At 45.9% G+C, this 19689-nt stretch overlaps 1 protein-coding gene and 1 pseudogene across 1 annotated transcript in view, besides 4 other annotated features; one reads left to right on the top strand and one right to left on the bottom strand.

Annotated features, from left to right (window-relative positions):
* Positions 1141-14023, top strand: KIF28P (kinesin family member 28, pseudogene; annotated as a pseudogene).
* Positions 3038-3157: an enhancer, noted in NCBI's record as "active region_2860". NCBI's record gives its function as "activates an Ori minimal core promoter by ATAC-STARR-seq in GM12878 lymphoblastoid cells {active_cell/tissue: GM12878}" and the evidence as "EXISTENCE:reporter gene assay evidence [ECO:0000049][PMID:35858748]".
* Positions 8597-9796: an enhancer, noted in NCBI's record as "BRD4-independent group 4 enhancer chr1:246939407-246940606 (GRCh37/hg19 assembly coordinates)". NCBI's record gives its function as "activates an origin of replication core promoter dependent on BRD2, P300/CBP, MED14 and CDK7 cofactors, and independent of BRD4, by STARR-seq in HCT116 cells {active_cell/tissue: HCT116}" and the evidence as "EXISTENCE:reporter gene assay evidence [ECO:0000049][PMID:35650434]".
* Positions 16922-17580: an enhancer, noted in NCBI's record as "NANOG-H3K27ac-H3K4me1 hESC enhancer chr1:246931623-246932281 (GRCh37/hg19 assembly coordinates)". NCBI's record gives its function as "activates a minimal SCP1, AML or CMV promoter by ChIP-STARR-seq in naive H9 embryonic stem cells {active_cell/tissue: H9 hESC(naive)}" and the evidence as "EXISTENCE:reporter gene assay evidence [ECO:0000049][PMID:30033119]".
* Positions 17140-17434: a silencer, noted in NCBI's record as "tiled region #1181; K562 Repressive non-DNase unmatched - State 15:Elon". NCBI's record gives its function as "represses a minimal TATA promoter and a strong SV40 promoter by Sharpr-MPRA in K562 cells {active_cell/tissue: K562}" and the evidence as "EXISTENCE:reporter gene assay evidence [ECO:0000049][PMID:27701403]".
* Positions 17764-19689, bottom strand: part of SCCPDH (saccharopine dehydrogenase (putative)) — a 43729-nt gene continuing 41803 nt past the window's right edge. The window contains exon 12 of the mRNA NM_016002.3: positions 17764-18706. Coding sequence (NP_057086.2) covers positions 18601-18706 — 106 coding nt within the window. The 3' untranslated portion in view covers positions 17764-18600. The remainder of the gene's footprint in view (positions 18707-19689) is intronic.

Raw genomic sequence — 19689 nt, 5'->3', positions numbered from 1 at the left:
GAAGATCCATGGGGACGGGACTCAGGAGGTGAGGATCCACGGGGAAGGGACTCAGGAGGTGAAGATCCATGGGGACGGGACTCAGGAGGTGAAGATCCATGGGGAAGGGACTCAGGAGGTGAGGATCCACGGGGAAGGGACTCAGGAGGTGAAGATCCATGGGGACGGGACTCAGGAGGTGAGGCCGCACGGGGACGGGACTCAGGAGGTGAGGATCCACGGGGACGGGACCCAGGAGGTGAGGATCCATGGGGACACAGGTTATCTTTACCAGCTGCAGCCTCCGGAGACCCAGTCAAGGGCAAAACGTATTCCAAGTATGAGCTGGAGCTCTGGGGAACAGGGGGATCCACTCTCCCGTTCCCTGTCCTGGGTCCTCCCTCCCAGCACCAGCCATTCCCTGTCCTGCACCCTCCCTCACAGCACCAGCTCCTGGGAGCGTTCCTAAGCTAGCCTGCACTGAGCATCTGTTCATGCTGAGTATGACTCAAAGGCTTTTGTACCAGAAGGGAGCCTGGGAGTTTATACAAGTGGTAGTGGTGTCTGTCCATGCACGTAGGTGCGTGTGTGTGTGTGCAAGTGTGTGTTTGTGTGTACATGTGCCCGTGAGAACACAGACTGCCTTTCTGCAGCAATGAGAAAAGCAATCCTCCTAGGGACTCCAGAAAAGGCTGTTTCACCAACTCCACTGGCTGGACCTTACTATCAGGAAATTCCATTTTAGAAACTTAAGACCCTGTTTCCTCTCCCTCTGCCTCCAAAGGAGGAAACAGAAATGCAGGCCCATCTTGCAGCACCCCTTGTGCATATCAGGCCCCTGGAGGAGCAGCCCTCAGGCTTCCGGCTCCAGCACACTCACCCGTTGCCTTTCCAGACTGCGCCTCCGGCCCCCACCCCGGGCTGCTCCCTCCCTGCTCAGCAATTGAAGCTTCTCTGAGTTTCACTTTTCTGCTCATCTGCTCATCGCCCGAAAATTGCCAAAATGTTCTGGGCCGAGACCGATTTTTGTAAAGCTTTTAAAAATTGTGAAATGAGCTAAGACTATAAGCATGTGTGTGCGTCCCATGTGGTCAGCACCTGTGCACTGCATCCACCACCCCGTCCACGGGGTTTCGCCCTCCAGGTGCTGGGGCTGCCAAGATGCTGCCCCAGGGAGGAAACCAAGCAAGGATCCTCCTGGAGCCCAGCTCCTCAGAGACCGGCCCCTTTCCTGCAGGTCTGTGTGATGCAGACAGGGTCTCCCGTGAGACCCTCACCCTAGGGAGTCAGCATGGACTTCTCTGCCATGTTCCGTGAGGCCTTGGAGGGGACCCCTCAGTGTGTTTGTACTTTGCATTTTTCTTTTTTTTCCAGCAAAGGCCACTGGGGCAAAGTGGCTCTGGTGCCCCGATATTCCACGTGCCTCTTTCGGGCCAGGCTTTCCCCTAGAATTTGGCTTGGCAGTTTCCTGTCTTGTCAGACCTTGTTTTAAGAAAATTTGTAATTCTAAAAAACCATTTTCCATGCTATTCTATTTTGTATTATAGTCCAAGGTAGTTCGAAAAATAGCCTTTTAAACTGTTGCTAACAGAAGGGTTATTGAGTGCACACGAAGACACTCATGAGCACCTGCCTGTCATTACCAGAAACAGAACAGGAGACGGTGTTCTCACACTTATCATTGGGAGAATTGTATGGGAGGGCTGAGGGCCTGGATTCATGCCCTCATTTTCCTTCAGCCCAGCATCCTGTCACTGGGACAGGTAGCTGTCTGATAGGACTGCTTCTGCTTAAACATACCAGGTTCTCTTTTAAGGGGGTCGTACAGTTTGTTTTTTTTTTTTTCTATTTTTTTTCTCATGAAGATATGAATCTTACCAATCTGTCTTCCTCAAGACTGTCCATTTTTACATTAAAACAGTAAGATTAGGCCCAGCACGGTAGTTCGCATCTGTAATCCCAGGATTTGGGGAGGCCGAGGTGGGTGGATGGCTTGAGCTCAGGAGTTTGAGACCAGCTTGGGCAACATGGTGAAACCCCGTCTCTACAAAAAATACAAAATTAGCTGAGTATGGTGGTGAGCACCTGTAGTCCCTGCTACTGGGGAGGCTGAGGTAGGAGAATCACCTGAGCCTGAGGAGGTCGAGGCTACAGTGAGCCGTGATCACACCACTATTCTCCAGCCTGGGCGACAGACAGAGACCCTGTCTCAAAAAAACAAGTAAGCTTAGTGCCAGTGACCTGTCTTCAGATGAAGCCCTGCTTTCCTCAGGAGGCTTCTGGGAGGCTGCAGCCTGAGAGTCTCCTGTGACATGGTATGTAGATGGAGGCTTCTGGAAGGCTGTAGTCTGAGGGTCTCTTGTGACATGGTGTGTAGATGGAGGCTTCTGGAAGGCTGCGGTCTGAGGGTCTCCTGTGACATGGTATGTAGATGGAGGCTTCTGGAAGGCTGTAGTGTGAGGGTCTCTTGTGACACGGTGTGTAGATGGAGGCTTCTGGAAGGCTGTGGTCTGGGGGTCTCTTGTGACACGGTGTGTAGATGGAGGCTTCTGGAAGGCTGTGGTCTGGGGGTCTCTTGTGACACGGTGTGTAGATGGAGGCTTCTGGAAGGCTGTGGTCTGGGGGTCTCTTGTGACACGGTGTGTAGATGGAGGCTTCTGGAAGGCTGTGGTCTGGGGGTCTCTTGTGACACGGTGTGTAGATGGAGGCTTCTGGAAGGCTGTGGTCTGGGGGTCTCTTGTGACACGGTGTGTAGATGGAGGCTTCTGGAAGGCTGTGGTCTGGGGGTCTCTTGTGACACGGTGTGTAGATGGAGGCTTCTGGAAGGCTGTGGCCTGGGGGTCTCTCTTGTGACACGGTGTGTAGATGGAGGCTTCTGGAAGGCTGTGGTCTGGGGGTCTCTTGTGACAGGGTGTGTAGATGGAGACGTCTGGAAGGCTGTGGTCTGGGGGTCTCTTGTGACAGGGTGTGTAGATGTTGGCAGTGCATGTGAGACAGGCACTTCCGAAGACTAGAAGAGCAGCAGAGACAGCTGTGGGTCCCAGCTAGAAACACGAATGCTACTTTGCGGTTGATCTTGTATGTGTTTACCTATCCTCCCTGCTGACCGTGTGGACGGTGACTGCTGCTGCAGCTCTCAGGGAGGACGCAGTGTTGTGCAGCTGTTGGGAGTCACATATCATAGACAAGCTCACGAGCAAACCAGGGCTGTGTGAGGGTTGGGGAGGGTTTTTTGACCTGGAAATGCTGCCAGCTTGCGGTTACCTTTCAGCAGTATTCACCCAACAGCTGTTGGCTCTGGTGAGCAGCACATCCTGCCAGGGAACTCTGAGCCAGGCCTGCAGAGCCCACCCGGGAGCAGGCGGGAGTCAGCATGGGCTCGCAGCCTATCCTGGAGCCTCGCCGACCTGTTTCCTCCTCAGGCCAAGGATGACATGCAATTTTAACTGACACCAGGCCTGTGGTCTGATATCCAGAGGTAATGAGGCAGTGAATTCATTTATTATTTAGATTCCCATGATCTTAGTTCCCTAAAGTCTTTAAGAAAAAAACAGAATAAGCCGGTGCAGGCGCACGCCTGCAGTCCAGCTACTCAGAGGCTGAAGCAGGAGGCCCGCCTGAGCCCAGGAGTTCAAGGCTGCAGTGAGCTAAGATTGAGCCACTGCATTCCAGCCTGGGTGACACAGCAAGATCACATGTCTTAAAAAGAAAAGAAAAACACAAACAGAAAAACCACAATGACTAGAACTCCTGTTGTTCCCTGCTGCCCCCATATTTTTTTTTTTTTTGAGATGGAGTCTTGCTCTGTCACCCAGGCTGGAGTGCAGTGGCGCGATCTTGGCTCCCTGCAAGCTCCATCTCCTGGGTTAAAGCGTTCTCCTGCCTCAGCCTCCCAAGTAGCTGGGACTACAGGTGCCCGCCAGCACTCCCGGCTAATTTTTTGTATTTTTGGTAGAGACGGGGTTTCACTGTTAGCCAGGCTGGTCTCGATCTCCTGACCTCGTGATCCGCCCGCCTCGGCCTCCCACAGTGCTGGGATTACAGCCGTGAGCCACCGCGCCCGCCCCCCCACATTCTTATTTAATGGTGGTGCCGCCTCTAGGAGAGCACTACGGTTCTTCACTTTGAGGCCAACAAAGATGGAATCTGTTTTCAGAGTCCTGAGAATGTCCTTTTTATGAAGAGACATCATACATGGAACGACTTGTCTGCTGATTTTTGCTTTTGCTTTTCCAGTTGCTCAGAAAAGGAGTTGCTAGTTTTACCTGATATTTATGGTCTAAAAACGACCTACCTGGAATCCCTCTGGAATCCCTCCTCCTGTGGCTTCAGGTTTGTTTCCTCTCCAGAGCCAGTGCTGACAGAGGCCCTGTCCTCACCCAGTGAGGAGGAAGACAGCGGCAGGCTGTTGTCCTGGATCTGCTGTGCACTGGGTGTGGACCCCTGAACAAGGAAGGACGCCTGCTTGGGTCTCTACAGAATGGAGCTCAGAATGCCTGCCATGCTGGGCTGGGAAGGCTGTGGGGAGTGTCTCCTGTGCTTGTGGATGTGTGCCCGTGTGCACTCCAGTCATGGCGGGGGAGCCACTTCTCAGCTCTTCTCCAGACTAACTACCCCCGCATCATCTTCCATGGCTGCTGTTCATGAATGACCAGGCTCATTAAATGACCCAAACTTACTACCTTATCGTTCTACACGTGAGAAGTCCAAATTGGGTCTCATTGGGCTAAAAGCAGGGTGTCGACAGAGCGGTACTGCTTTCTGGGCCTGAGGAAGAGAATCTGTTTCCCGGCCCCTTCCAGCTTTTAGAGGCCACCTCCCTCCATCTTCAAAGCCGCCACATAACCTCTCTCTGACCCCGCAGGCATTATCCTATCTCTGACCCTCTCTTCTGCTTCTCTCGGCCATATTGAAGACCCTTGTGATTTCATTGGGGCCACCTGGATACTCCAGGCTAATCTCCGTATTTTAAGGTCAGTTGATGACAAACCTTAATTTCCGTTTGCCATGCAAAGTAATATATTCACAGGTTCTGGGGATTAGCACATGGGCATCTTTGAGGACCATTCTGACACCATAAGCCCCAAACCTTCTCCCCTGAGAGGATCTGTTTTCTAACCCCTTCATCATCTCCTCTAAATCGTTTCCTAGGCTCAAGCAATGGGGAAGTAACAGGTCCAGGAATTAATACGATATTCTTGATGTCAGCAAAGCTAGGTGTGGAGAAAGTGGGATGTGGTCATGCGTACCGCAAACCCAGTCAATGAAGGGAGCATGCTGGGAAAATCAGAGTGATGAATTGTGAGAGCAGCAGATGAATCAAATACTGGTGACCTACCTCTGTGTTTCCAGGTGTGGATATGGTCAAAAGCCAAGTTCATCAATAGGAAATTCCTAATGCAGGAACTTTACCAGCGCTTTCTAGATGGAGATCACGGCCCTGTGGCTCGAGATGACGACCCTTTCTGGGATCCTGTCGAGGTCGTCCGCTTGGGCTCAGCTCACATCTGGCTCCAGTCGCTGGCCTACTGCATGAAGCTGGAGGAGCAAGTGGAGTTTCTGAACTGTGATGGGCTGGAGGAGGCGGTGCTGCATACCTGCATAGCACCCTGCTCCCCAACAGGACAGTGAGTGTCTCCTTCTCCCCCCTGCCTACTTCTGGGTCAGTCACACACATAAAATCCAGAGCAGGCCTGAGTTCTCCTGACGGGGTGGTCAACTTGGTACCCTGAACAGGTCATTCATAAGACAAATGAAAGAGCTCATTCATTCACCATTTGGCCTCAACGAATGTGATTTTTGCTGTCCCCTGGGGGACCTGAGGAATGAGGAGGACATCTGGCAGAGGCAGGTATAGTGGAAGGAACCTTGGACAAAACCGAAAGAGCTGGGTGGGTTCCAAACAATGGACCCTCAGGAGAGAAGCCAAGTGGGTTGCAGCGCCTCCCCAGCCACACTCCCCTCCTGGCCCTGTGGGCCTGGCATGTGCCGCGTGGGACGCTTTCCCATGCTGAGGGCCCAACCTGCTTCAAGAGCCAGAAGCAGAAGCTGATTTTCCAGCTCAGCCCTTTTCTCGAGGTAAGGACGGTGAAGCCTGACCTCATTCTGTGCTGTCACCTGACCTTTCTGTGGGCACAGGCTTTGTTTTGAGCTATTGGCTCTGTCCTAAACGTTGCCTCGTTACCCTCAACTGTCCTCTCTGGATACTCATCTGTCACAGGCAGTTTTTACAAAGCAAAAGTCTTTTAGCAACCCTAAGCCAAGAGGCTGGCGGTGGCCTGGTCTGGGTGCCAAGGCACTCAGTGCAACCTTTCCATCTTTCTGAAGAATCAGCTCAAGAAGGGAACCTCAACGTTCCGTGACCAAGAAACCAAGCTGCCCAACAACTCACTGCCTTTACTCTGATCACTTGGCTACCTCGAGCTTCTGGGCTGCCCAGCAAGTTGTATTTCTTGTTGCAAATTAATGAATTTAATTTGAAAGGTTTCAGACTTTGTGAGCCTGGTTGATAGGACAGCAGTCCCTTGTTGGAAAGCTGTCCGAGTCCGTTTCTGAGCTTGCAGAAACGGGGTTCTCTCTAGACTATAAAGAAACAAAGGAAAAGGAAAATGACAACCTGAGAGGCTGCATCTGGGCAGCCGCTGCTTTCCCACTCTGTTCCACTGGGGACCTGCCTAAATCTTCAATGCAAGTTTAGCATCCACATCTGTGTGCATCCATTGCATGACGCTGTTTATCTTCCTTTTTCCTCCAGGCAGGGAGATCCTTGAGAAGGCCTGATCTTACTTTGACGTGCCAGGGTAACGGGCTCTTGTTCAACATGTCTCTTGAATGCATGAATGAACTCTACTGATCCTGTCTACAGTGAAATTAGCTCTCTCTTAAGGATTCTATTTAACCCCCTTAACATCACAATCTTAACTTGCTTGGACCCAGCCTAACCCGAGGTCAATGTTGACCTCTTCTGTTTGTAGAACGCATGGCGAGGAGGATGTGGTTATTGACCCTTTGGAGCTGCTGGGCAAGAGGATGGATTTTCAGATTCACATTGTCCGGTGCCTTGGCGTCAACTGGATGAAGGAAGATGCAAAGCGGGGCACTCAGATAGGGTACCAGCCTGCACCGCGGAACAGAGCCACACACGCCACCTGCCGTGTGGACCCTGTGGGGGGCAGTCCAGTCTTTCTTCAAGTTTTAAAAATGAGCTTATCATAAAGTTTTCTTAAGTTTCTCTGTTTAACTTTAAGATGACTATTTCCTCCTCTATTTAATAGAGGAACTTTCTCTGTTTAACTTTAAGATGACTATTTTCCCTCATAGTTTCTCTAACTTTGAGATGACTATTTCCCAACTATTTAATAGAGGGGCCACATGTCCCTCCAGGTCTCTGGCCTGTGGTCAGTGTGTACTGAACTCTTTACAGAACTGAAGCAGAAATTCTAATTATCAGAAAGAATATCCAGTAAAACCATGTTATCTAAGCAAAACAGTTTTTAGGTTTTAGTTGGAAACAAAAGGACTGTATTATGATATGGCAGAAGCACCAGATATGCTTAAACAAATTAGGCTAAAAGGATATTGAAAGATAAGGCAGGCCAGGTGTGGTGGCTCACGCCTGTAATCCCAGCACTTTGGGAGGCTGAGGCTGGCACATCACTTGAGGTCAGGAGTTTGAGACCAGCCTGTCAACATGGTGAAACCCCAGCTCTACTAAAAGTAGAAAAATTAGCCAGGCTTAGTGGCATACGCCTGTAATCCCAGCTACTCAGGAGGCTAAGGAAGGAGAATTGCTTGAACCCCAAAGGGAGAGGTTGCAGTGAGCCGAGATCACTCCAGCCTGGGTGACAGAGCGAGACTCTGTCTCAAAATAAATAAATAAATAAATAAATAAAGATAAGGCAATAGAGACTTTGAAGAACGAAAACCAAATCACCGCCTCACATAGAAAATTAACCATTTTTGATTATCTGAGTAGAAGGGATTTATTGAAATCCATTTTGTTTGTTTTTTGTTTTTGAGACAGAGTCTCGCTCTGTCGCCCAGGCTGGAGTGCAGTGGAGTGGAGCGATCCCACCTTACTGCAACCCCTGCCTCCTGGGCTCAGCCTCCTGAGTAGCTGGAACTACAGGCATGCACCATAACACCCACCTAATTTTTGTATTTTTTACAGAGATGGTGTTTTGCCATGTTGCCCAGGCTGGTGTCAAATTCCTGGGCTCAAGCAATCTGCCTGCCTCAGCCTCCCAAAATGCTGAGATTACAGGCATGAGCCATTGCGCCCAGCCTGAGCTTTTTAAAAAAATTATTATTTATCTAGTGATGATATCCCTGTTGAGTAAGATGTTGGAGGTGATAAACATGACAATCAATCATAGGTCATCTTTTATCTGACACATGCGCTGTAAATCTTTGGCTCATCTGTCCCTTTTCTTTACAAATGTGTCCCTTCTGGTTTTAAATTATGTTTTATGTTTTTCTCAGGTACAGAATTTATGACCTTCCAAACACTATCTATACCAAACCTGTATGGAAAAGTGTGAATCCACAAATTGAAGAGACTGTCCAATTTGCAGCCTTAACTGCATCTCAGGAGTTTCTGAATTATTTGCGGACAAATGCCCTTATTGTTGACCTATGGGGCCTTCAAGGTACCTTGCTTACTTATTCTTTCATCAGACATGCCATACATTCAGGGCTGCAGAAGGGGTAGAGGAGCGAGGCAGTCAGCGTCCTAACAGCGGTGGGCCAGAGCCATCTTTTCCCCTGGGCCTCTGGGTTCTCATCCAGCAGGGTGGTTACATGCTTTAACAACTTCTCACCTGACACTGGAGCTGGGCGACTGGGATGTTTCTTTCTTTGACTGTGTCTCTCCCCATTACAGAAGGCTGCACCGAGCTGAGCTGCTCTCAGCTGGGCCTCATGGTCACAGGTGAAGGCCACATCCTGGTAGACACCAAGAAAATTTCCACTGTGAAGGATATAAGCCAGGTGTGTACATAGGACACTAAAGTGGGCATCCCAGGTGGCTAGAAAATCTCTGAGGACGGCTGCTTGACGTTCCTTCCCCCTTAACAAACGTTTTCTTTATTTACTCCTGTGTACCCTGAGGGGCTTAAACTCTGCTCACCATACACACACTCCCATCCCATTTGATTTTCCCATGGTAGCAAACATTGCCAGTCTCAAAGGATATGCAGATGATACAACAAAAGACGAAACTGACATGTTTTCTGGTAGGCAGCATCAAACCAGATACCAGAACTTTATCTGAAGCTGCTCAAGCTAGAGCAGGAGACGGAACCGCTCAGGAACATTAACAGAGCCCTGAGAGAGGAGAACGTGCTTCTCAAAGCATCACTTGCGAAAACTGCTTCTGGTCAAGGTGAGAGACTGCTCCAGTCTTGGCTGTTTAGCTTATCCCTAGACTCCTACATTTGGGATGTGTATTTGTCTTTTAAGAAACAAACTTTTAAATGAGTTAATTCGTATCTTCTTTCATAAACAAAAAATGCCGGACATTTCTTCTGCCCTGTGAGATTTCCCCTTTCCCTTGGATGGATCCAAACTGGTGCCTGATAAATGCTGATGCAGTAGAATGCCACCAAAATAAATATAGAGATGCCCAGAGAAAGAGATACATAAATCAATGTTACCTTTTTCCACCTCAGCCCCGAAGCCTTCCAACACTCTGAAGATCAGCGGGATGACTGCGCAACTGCCATCCGCCGGGGAGATGAGCCAAATGTGCACACAGCAAGCCGGCTCTGACCGAGAGCTTGCCAAGGCTCTGAAGGTGTTCTACCAAAGCATGAACACGGCAAGAGGGCAGCTTTTCAGACTCAGACGGCACCAACCTCCGGTAAGGAACTGGAATCCTGGGAGCACACAGAATTTCTTTCCATCCAATTTAGACATTTGATGTAACTGCATTTCCTGAGCTTGGAGACGTATATGCTGAAGCGGAAGAGCAAGGCGAGGAGGCCCTGCTTGACCTGCTCTGTTAGCGCGAATCTGCTGCCCTCTCAGGCCGCCGTCCGTCTCTGCTCTGACCTTTTTATTTGAGTGCACATCCGGCTGGCTCCACGCTACCACGGTCACTGCACGACTGATACCCACTCACTTTACAATGCAATATACAGACTACCCTGTTTGGTTTATCATTATAAAACCCAATGTAATTCATCATATTAAGAGATTATAAGATAAAATAATTTGATTACTTCAACAGATGCAGAAAAAGATGTGGCCAAATTAAACATCCTATGACAATAAAAATTCTCGGCAAACTAGGAATAAAATGGACATTCCTTAATCTGATAAAGGCAATCTTAAGACAAACACACAGTGGACAAAATGCTTAGTGATGAATGACTGAAAGCTTTTCTTTTCAGATCAGGAGGTCAGGGATGCCAGCTTTCTTGACCTCTGTCCTTTAGGTTCTAGCCAGTGCAGTAAGGAAAAGAAATACAAAGTATGACTGGAAAGGAAAGAAAAGTAATTACAATAATAGCATACACTTATGTAACACTTACAACCTGCTTTACATTTACTGTCTCAATTCTCACAGCAACCCTATGAGGCAGGTACTATTATTCACCTTATTTTACAGTTCATGGAACGTGTCTAAAGACACATGACTCATCTGTGGCAGCGCTGAGGTCCAGACCCTGCCGGTGCTGTTCCCCAGTCTATACTGCGCTGCCTCTAGTATCATCCCAGATGACCTGCTTGTATAGACAGAAAATCCCCAAGAATTTGTAAATGAATTACAAAGTTGCTAGATACAAAAATCAAGATTTAAAAATTAACTGTATTTGAATATAACAGCAGCAAGCAGAAAATTATTTTTAAAATAAAAGACACCATTGATAATTGCATCAAATATATGGAATACTTAGGCCTATAGCTGACATAAAATATGTAAGAGTTGTACGGAGAAAATTTTAAAACTTATTTGAGAGATGTTTAAAAGGATATAAATAGATAGAGAAACTGCCATCTCTCCGTGGTTTGGAAGATTTGTTATTGTACATCTGTCAACTCTTCCCCAAGAGTCATTGTAATTCCAATCAAGTGTAATAGAACCTAACAAGATAATTCTACAATTTGTATGGAATTGCAAAAGCAAAAACTAGCCAAGATGAGACCAGACCCAAGAACAAGACAGAAAGACTTGCCCTACCTGATATCAACACTTCATTTTAATGCCTCTGTAACAGAGGCAGTAAGGTAAGGTGTTGGCCCAAAGATAGATAAATAACCAAAGAAAAAGAACAGAAGGCTCAGAAACAGATTTATTCAGGACTACAGACTTGATATACAACCGAGTGGAACTGCAAATCAATGTGGCAAGGATGGACTTTTCAATAAACAGTGCTGGGGAATTAGGAATATGTATGGGGACAAATGAAACTGGATTCCTATCTAAAACTACCCCAGAAATCAATTTCAGGTGAGAATTAAAGAGCTAAATGTGGAAGGCACAACCCTAATGCTTTTATTTATTTATTTAAATATTTTAAAAATAGAGATGGGGTTCTTGTTATGTTGCCCAGGCTGGTCTCGAACTCCTAGCTTCAAGCAATCCTCCCGCCTCAGCCTCCCAAAGTGCTGGAATTACAGGCATAAGCCACCATGCCCTGCCTCAAATGCTTTCAGAAGATACTTTAGGAGACTGTCTTTACGACCTCACAGTGGAAAAGGATTTCTTATGCATGACACACACACACACACACACACACACACACACACACACACACACCCCCCTAGCTTTAAAGAGGGAGACCGATAAAGTCAGCTAAATTAAAATGGTGAACTTTGGTGCATCAAAAGACACCAAAATGAAAAAGCCAGAAGGAATGGGAAAAGTTCTTTGCAACACGTTTAACATATAATGAACTAATATCCAAAATAAAGAACTACTAACCAAAAAGAAAAATAGACAACCCAATAGAAAAAAAAATGGTCAAAAGATTTGAACAGGAACTTCACAAAAGAGGAAATTAAAAATGCCAATAAATATATGGAGAAGTGCTTAATCGCATTAATAGTTTGGGAAATACTAACTGATACCACAATGAGATACCATTATTAACCTTCCATACTGGCAAAAATTAAAAAGCTTGACAATATCAAGTTTTGGTGAAGATATGAAGTAACAGAAACTCTCATGTATGGCTGAGAGGAGTATAAATTGGTACAACCATTTAAAAATTATTTGGCATTTACTTATTAAAAGTTGAAGATACTAGAACCTAGAAGCCTGCAATTCAACTCTTCCTTCCTTCACAGCTGAACTGGTTCTGCAGAGTTAAAGCCCTAATGCCTCAGGCAGAGATTCTCGAAGTGTGCCCTATGGCCTAGCAGCTTCAGCAGCATCTAGGAACTTGTCAGAAATGCAAAATCCAGGGCCCCACCCCAGACCTACTGAATCAGAATCTCTGGGTGTGAGGCCTAGTAACACGTGTTTCAACAAACCCTCTCCATGATTCTGCCTTCAAGTTTGAGAACCTACTGCACTGAGGCATCTGACATACGAAATAAGCTAACTCTGTCATATGTGTCTAGGATGGCACTAGTTACACACCATTCTTGAAAGAACTGAGAAAACAGTTATTCAAATCACTTCCGTTCTGTGGTTCAGATGAGGGGCCAGTTGAAAAACACTACAGAAATCTTAGTTGATGTGCACTGCTGTTCATAAAACCCTCTTCCATAGTAGCCCCAAACTGGAAACATCCCTAATACATGTTCACCGAAGACGGGTAAATTTTGGCCCCTCTATGCTGTGTAACACTACATTGCCATGAAAGTGAACAACAGCCACAGGCAACAAGAAGAGTCTTCCAATAGTGATGGAAACCAAGTTACGAAAGATGACATCCAACATGATTCTATAAACATTCAAAGAGGGCAAAATATACTGTTTAGGGATATACTCTAGGTGGCAAAACTATTGAGAAAGGCAAGAAAATGGTGACCACACAAGTCAGGCTGGCAGTTGCTTCTGGGACAGGAAGAAGGTGACAGGAGGAGTTCCAGGCAGTGGGCTCTCTAGAGCAGGTGTGTTCACTTTAGGCCTGTCAATATATTTAGGGTACTTTTCTGTTCTACGTAGCTCACAATAAAAAAGAATAACTGGTTAAATGAAAGACACCTTAAACAAAGTTTCAAATAAACCACAGCCTGGAAAATATATTAATATTATTTAGCAAGCATTAGTATTCAGAATAAACTATTACTTTTAAGATTTAAAAAAAGATAATATGTTGGAAAGCACATTCGAAAAAAATCGGCAAAGGATTTGAACAGGCATTTCACTAATACTCAGGGAAATAGAAACTGAATCCCAGTGCCACTCTCTGCTGTTCCCATTTTCAGTGAGTGCGGTACCATCTCCTCCATCACGTCACACTACCTGCTCTCTGCTGTTCCCATTTTCAGTGAGTGCGGTACCATCTCCTCCATCACGTCACACTACCTGCTCTCTGCCGTTCCCATTTTCAGCCAGTGCGGTACCATCTCCTCCAACACTTGTCTCCAGGACTCTGCCCCAGGGCATCCCTAGTTCTCAGGGGTACTTGCCTCCACAGGTTAGGGGAAGCATCGGCAAAACCCTACCAATGGGAGAGCCCCTACACCCACTGGCCCCTCAAGACTCCTTTAATACTCCTTCGACAGTATTAAAACACTAAGGAAGTAACATTCCAGTGGAAAATATTTGACTTATCTCACCAGTTTTCCCTACTGGCAGTAACTTAGGGTCATCCGAAACAAAACTGCTCCTAGGTGACTTACTGCCTCTGCTAGCAGCTTTCAAAAGCAGTTTTCTATCCCAAAGGGGAACTTAGTGGGCACCCCACTCATACACACACATTTTTTACTGATGACATGAAATCTATCACTATAATTTTTTTCACTTTTTTTTTAGGAAGTTGATCAAATGCTTCGACCGTTTATACACCAACGGTCACAGATGTTTAAGGATTTGGGGGATCTACGTGAATCCAGCTTGTGGACACTGAAAATGACGTTGCTCTTATAGTGAAAAAGAAGCGAGAATATTTACTGCACATCAAATAGTGAAGACACACCAGCTGAACACTGAGGGTATTTGAGCTTCGAGTTGTGAAGATGATTTGTGTAGCTAGCAAGCTTACCTCATTTCCCACTTACTTTACCTATTTCTTCTACCAGTTTTAAGCAAAACTCTCCTTCCATGTGACTGTAAATCATCTCTATAACCTAAAGGCTGCTTGAATGGCCCTATGTTCCTGACGCGTAGGGGGAGCCACACACACTGGGGTCTCTTTGAGGTTGGAGGGTGGGAGGAGGGAGAGGGTGAACGATTAGCACTCGGAGCTCGGGGATCAGACTGCCGAGGGTTAAATCCTGGTTAAGTCCATCACTTATCAACTGCAGGATTTGGGGCCACTGACTTCCCCTCTCTAAGCCTCTCTTTCCTCACTTGTTTTGTGGGAAGGAAAACAGTATTTACTGCAAATGGTTAATGAACATAAAGCACTTAGAACAGTGCCTGACACACAGACATGATTGATAAGCATTCACCATTAATATTTTTAAGGTAAACAGTTCAAAACTTCAAATGAAGCTCTTCTATCTCTATTTCTTGCTGTCAGACCTACAGACAATGGTTATTTCACGTCTCTCGTTTTGTATCTTTCTCTGAACAAGTTTGAATTCTACCTCCACTTAGTTTCATCTTCTCATAGGTTTATCTGAAATACTGTTATGTTCAATTTTCTCAGCAGCAGGAGTGCCCATATGATGGGACCTTTTCAGTGTAGAGTCTGCGGTTCAGGGATTGTAACTGTTAGTGAAAAAGTCTACTAGGAGTTAGTCTATCTTGAAGCCAGTCTTGATTCCACAAATTGACTGATGGGTCTTAGTCAAGGATATGATAAAAAGCTCAACACCACTGATCATTAGAGAAATGCAAACCCAAACCACAATGAGACACCATCTCACACCAGTCCGAATGGCTATTATTAAAAAGTCAAAAAATAAAAGATGCTAGGCTGGACACGGTAACTCACGCCTGTAATCCCAGCTCTTTGGGAGGCTGAGGCAGGTGGATCACCTGAGGTCAGGAGTTCGAGACCAGCCTGACTAATATGGAGAAACTCCAACTCTACTAAAAATACAAAATTAGCCAGGCATGGTGGTGCATGCCTGTAATCCCAACTACTTGGGAGGCTGAGGCAGGAGAATCACTTGAACCCGGGAGGCAGAGGTTGTGATGAGCCAAGATCGTGCCATTGCACTCCAGCCCAGGCAACAAAAGCAAAACTCCGTCTCAAAAAACAAACAAAAAACAGATGCTGGCGAGGTTGCAGAGAAAAAGGAATGCTTACACACTGTTGGTGAAAGTGGAAATTAGTTCAACCGTTGTGGAAAACGGTGTGGTTCTTCCTCAAAGACCGAAAAACAAATACCTTCTGACCCAGCAGCCCCATTACTGGGTAGATACCCAAAGGAATATAACTTGTTCTGTTATAAAGACACACATGTATATGTTCATTGCAGCACTATTCACAATAGCAAAGACATGGAATCAACCTAAAAGTCCATCAATAGTAGACTGGATAAAGAAGATGTGGTAGATATACACCATGGAATGCCACGTAGCCATAAAAAGAATGAGATCATGTCTTTTGTAGGAACATGGATGGTGCTGGAGGTCATTATCCTCTGCAAACTAATGCAAGAACAGAAAACCAAATACCACATGTTCTCACTTATAAGTGGGAGCTAAGTGATGGGAACACATGGACACATAGAGGAGAACACCAAACACTGGGGCCTCTCAGAGGGTGGAGAGTGGGTGGAAGGAGAGGGTCAGGAAAACTAACCAATGGGTACTAGGCTTAATACCTGGGTGACAAAATAATCTGTACGACAAACCCCCATGTCACTTTACCTATATAACAAACCTGCACATGTACCCCAGAACTTAAAAAGTTAAAAAAAAAAAAAAAGAAACGTTTTGTGGCCAAAGACAAACTACTACTACTTCTTCTTCTTTTTTTTTTTTTTTGAGACGGAGTCTTGCTCTGTCACCCAGGCTGGAGTGCAGTGGTGTGATCTCAGCACACTGCAACCTCTACCTTCTGGGTTCAAGCAATTCCTCTGCCTCAGCCTCCCTGAGTAGCTGGGATTACAAGGCATCCGCCACCAGGCCCAGCTAAATTTTGTATTTTTAGTAGAGACGAGGTTTCACCATGTTGGCCAGGCTGGTCTCAAACTCCTGACCTCAAGTGATCCACCCGTCTCGGCCTCCCAAAGTCCTAGGATTACAGGCATGAGCCACCGTGCCCAGCCCAAAGACAGACTTCTAATAACAACAGTAGTGATGACGTTGAAACTTAGTAAGTGCTTACACCATGTGCCAGGCACTAATCCAAGTGCTAAACATGTTAGCTCATTTAATTCTCACAATAATTCGATGAAGTTGAGTAACATGCCCAGGCCACTGTAAGCACAGAGGCTGATGCCAGAGCCTGCATTCCTAACTGTGATGGCCTGCTGCCTGACGGTGCAGGACTGTCCCTGGGAGTCCTGGCTGACATGCAGAAAAAATCAGGAAGGAGAAAATAAGGGGCGACAACCTCAATCCTTGCTCCCTAAAATATGAAGTTAAGGAAGGTCAAATAGGATGACGCCGAAGCTGCACTGGCAGGAGAGGCTGTCAAGGGCTCCAAAAAGGAACCTCTAGAAAGACAAAGGAATCTGGGCTAGTGATTTCAGCTTAAGAGCAGGGTCCAAGGATTCGTAAGGGAGGCATGGGTTTTGCTTGCAGCTCAGGTCCTGACCACATACACAAGTGAACTAAAAAAACTGCTGTAACCCTGGAACCCAAGCGTGGAGCACCTCGTGGTGACAGCCAGGACAGGGCCAGCAAAGGCATCACGGAATCCTGGGAAGACTCTGTCAGTGAGACCCCGTAACAGTAGAGGCTAGGCAGACTCCAGTCCTCTGGGCCTGGCCACTGGGAGCAGGAATGGCTTCTGTCTCTTGAACTGAGCCTCAACATTTTGGACAATTAGCAGTTTACTCACCTGAGGTGAGTCATATACTTTCAGCAAATGGGAGCAGGCAGAACCTTGGGGGATTAAAAGGAAAATCAGGATGAGACACACATGTACCTCAAGCCAGAGGATGGGGTCACACTGCTACCTTCAGAATCAGAGTCAATGCTCGAGCATACATTGCAAAGCTAGAAACAGGGACAGGATATGCAGCTTCACCCAGCGGTTCCCAAATGCATATCAAAAACACAGAGGCTTCGACCTCCCGCCCTCCTGAACGCAAGTTGCTGCAGGCACGGAGGAACCTGTTACTGTTTCGTGATTCAGATGTGCAGCTAGTCGTGGGCTCTATTGCTCCTGTACTGCTTTCTAATTTCACAGCCGATAAAACCTTTTCTAAGGTCCCACAAGTTAGGGCACAGCTGAGGATCTGTATCTTGTGATGACCAGGCCAGGACAGAGGAAGCAGAGTTAGGGTGGGGAATACTACCACCAAGAACACCCTCTTCGAGTTAGATACCCCCCGCTTCTTCTTACAGGCCTCTTTGAGTTAGATACCCTCCCCCACTTCTCCTTACAGGCCTCTTTGAGTTAGATACCGCCCCCTCTTCTTCTTACAGGCAGAGCAGAAGGGTCTCCCAACACAAATAATATTCCTAAATATTTTATGTTCCTCACTTTTTGGTAGAAATTCCATAAAGGAGTGGCTGTCTTGTTTAGGTAATGAACAACATGATTGCTATGTATATACGTGTTTATTATATGCTTATTACAAAAGAAAAAGTCTTTTGCCTTATTTTAGGGCTTCCATGTAAAACCTAGTTAAAATACAAAAAGTAAATTAGAGAAAAATTCTGCTTAGGTAGTGAAAATTGATAGCAACTTATAAGCTGTATCCTTAAAAACCTAGTCACAGATATAGAATTACGTAAAGATAAAATGATAAGCCTACTTATTGGCAAGAAACAGGTTAGGCCACTTAAGCAGCATGTTTCTACCACTATACAAATACATCGGCAGGTCCAAACATTAAACCACCATTCGATTGACAACCTTTTATTTTTCAACTTAGGTAACAGTCCAAAATCAGTGTAGATTGGCGAAAAACTAGGCAAAAATAGCAAAAAGTGCAGTTTAATTTAGCAAAGGCTCAAGACAGTATGTGGAAGGAAGGTGAGATTTCCCTCCTACTGCGGCAAGGCAAGCGGCAGTTACTGCCCGACAGTAACGATGGTGTGCGCACCCCCGATGAGAATGCTGCTGCAACACAGACTGGGACGCCGCCTCCCCCATTAGACCTGCCAGCTCATTCGTGAAAATCTACCAGGAACACATCAATGAAAAAAATATGTCAAATATGAGTTCTCTGTTATAAGCAATAAAATCACAAAATCAACTCAGATTTGAAATTTAGGGTAAGCTAGGACAATTTCCTACTTTTTAATATATAGATATTTTAGATTTGACAATCGTTTCCACATACACTCAGACAGGCTTACAGAAGAATTTCAAATATCAAATAGAGAAGCTGTTAATTCACGCACGTTATGACTTCAGTTAATTCTTCCAGTGTTTAGACTTCAGAGCTGCTAATAACACTAAACTCAATACCGTGTTTGTTGAGTCTGTCAATCAACTTTGTTTTGGAAAAAGCTGCTCCAGGTGTGAAGACCCCGCCCCTATAAAACAATAACAAGAGAAAACAGTGCACTCAGCTCCTCTCCAGTCTCCTATTTCACAGGCCTCACTATCAAATTGCTACAGAACCCCTGAAAACCCAAGTCTTCATGGTAATCACGGCTACCTTTGATTCCTTCCTAAAATCAGCCAAATGAGCAAGTAGCTATTAGTCAGGAGAAACTTGCACCACAGCCAACCCTATCTAGACTGGCTCTGTTCCTGGAGATACTGTTTCCATTCTATGCATGTGTTTGGTGGGTGCACTGTGCGCCATCACCCCGAAGAACCGCTGCTGTTTACAAGGACAGTCCTCAGACTTAGGGGGATTAAAGAAAGACCCGAATGGAATAAATTTAGATAATCAATTATTATGAAAGTGTAAACAGAACTTAAATTGGATGAAAAAGAAGTTTTTAAAAATATAATAGCTAACATTCATAAATGCTAAATATTTTCAAGGGGGACCTAGGTATTTGAAAAAATTTAATTAGATTTTACTATATACAAATTTTACTTTTATTAATCCTGTTTTAGGTCATGCCTGGTTTACTTCTCAGCAGCAGGCCTCTGCTCATTTGAAAAGCTGGCCTAGTTTTAGGGGGACAGCTAAATGCTCCAGTAAGACAGTACGTCTGAAAATCATCTAGCCAGGATCCCATGGTTCCATTTATGCTGGTGTCAGTCAGGGTTACTACTGCCAGCTGGGTATAGTTAGGCACTGATTGGAAGCTCCTAGTAATACTATTAACAACAGGGACTTTTTTGAGTGGCTGACTCTGGACTTGAGGTATCTTTATAAAGGGCTGAAGTTAACTCATGGCTCTCCAACTTTTCTGTCTCCTCTCATTTACCTCCACAGTTGTTCCTCTGAGACCAACTCTGGGCTGGTAAGAAGCTGTCCTTCTCACAGTTTTAATTTACCTATATTTTTGAAGCAAAGGAACTGAACTATAAATGCTTACATGCAAACCCAAAGCCTGAA

The sequence above is a fragment of the Homo sapiens genome, chromosome 1 (assembly GCF_000001405.40).
Source record: "Homo sapiens chromosome 1, GRCh38.p14 Primary Assembly".
NCBI classification, from domain to species: domain Eukaryota; kingdom Metazoa; phylum Chordata; class Mammalia; order Primates; family Hominidae; genus Homo; species Homo sapiens.
Note: the sequence above shows the minus strand (reverse complement) of the source record. Positions and strands in the feature narration are given on the sequence as shown.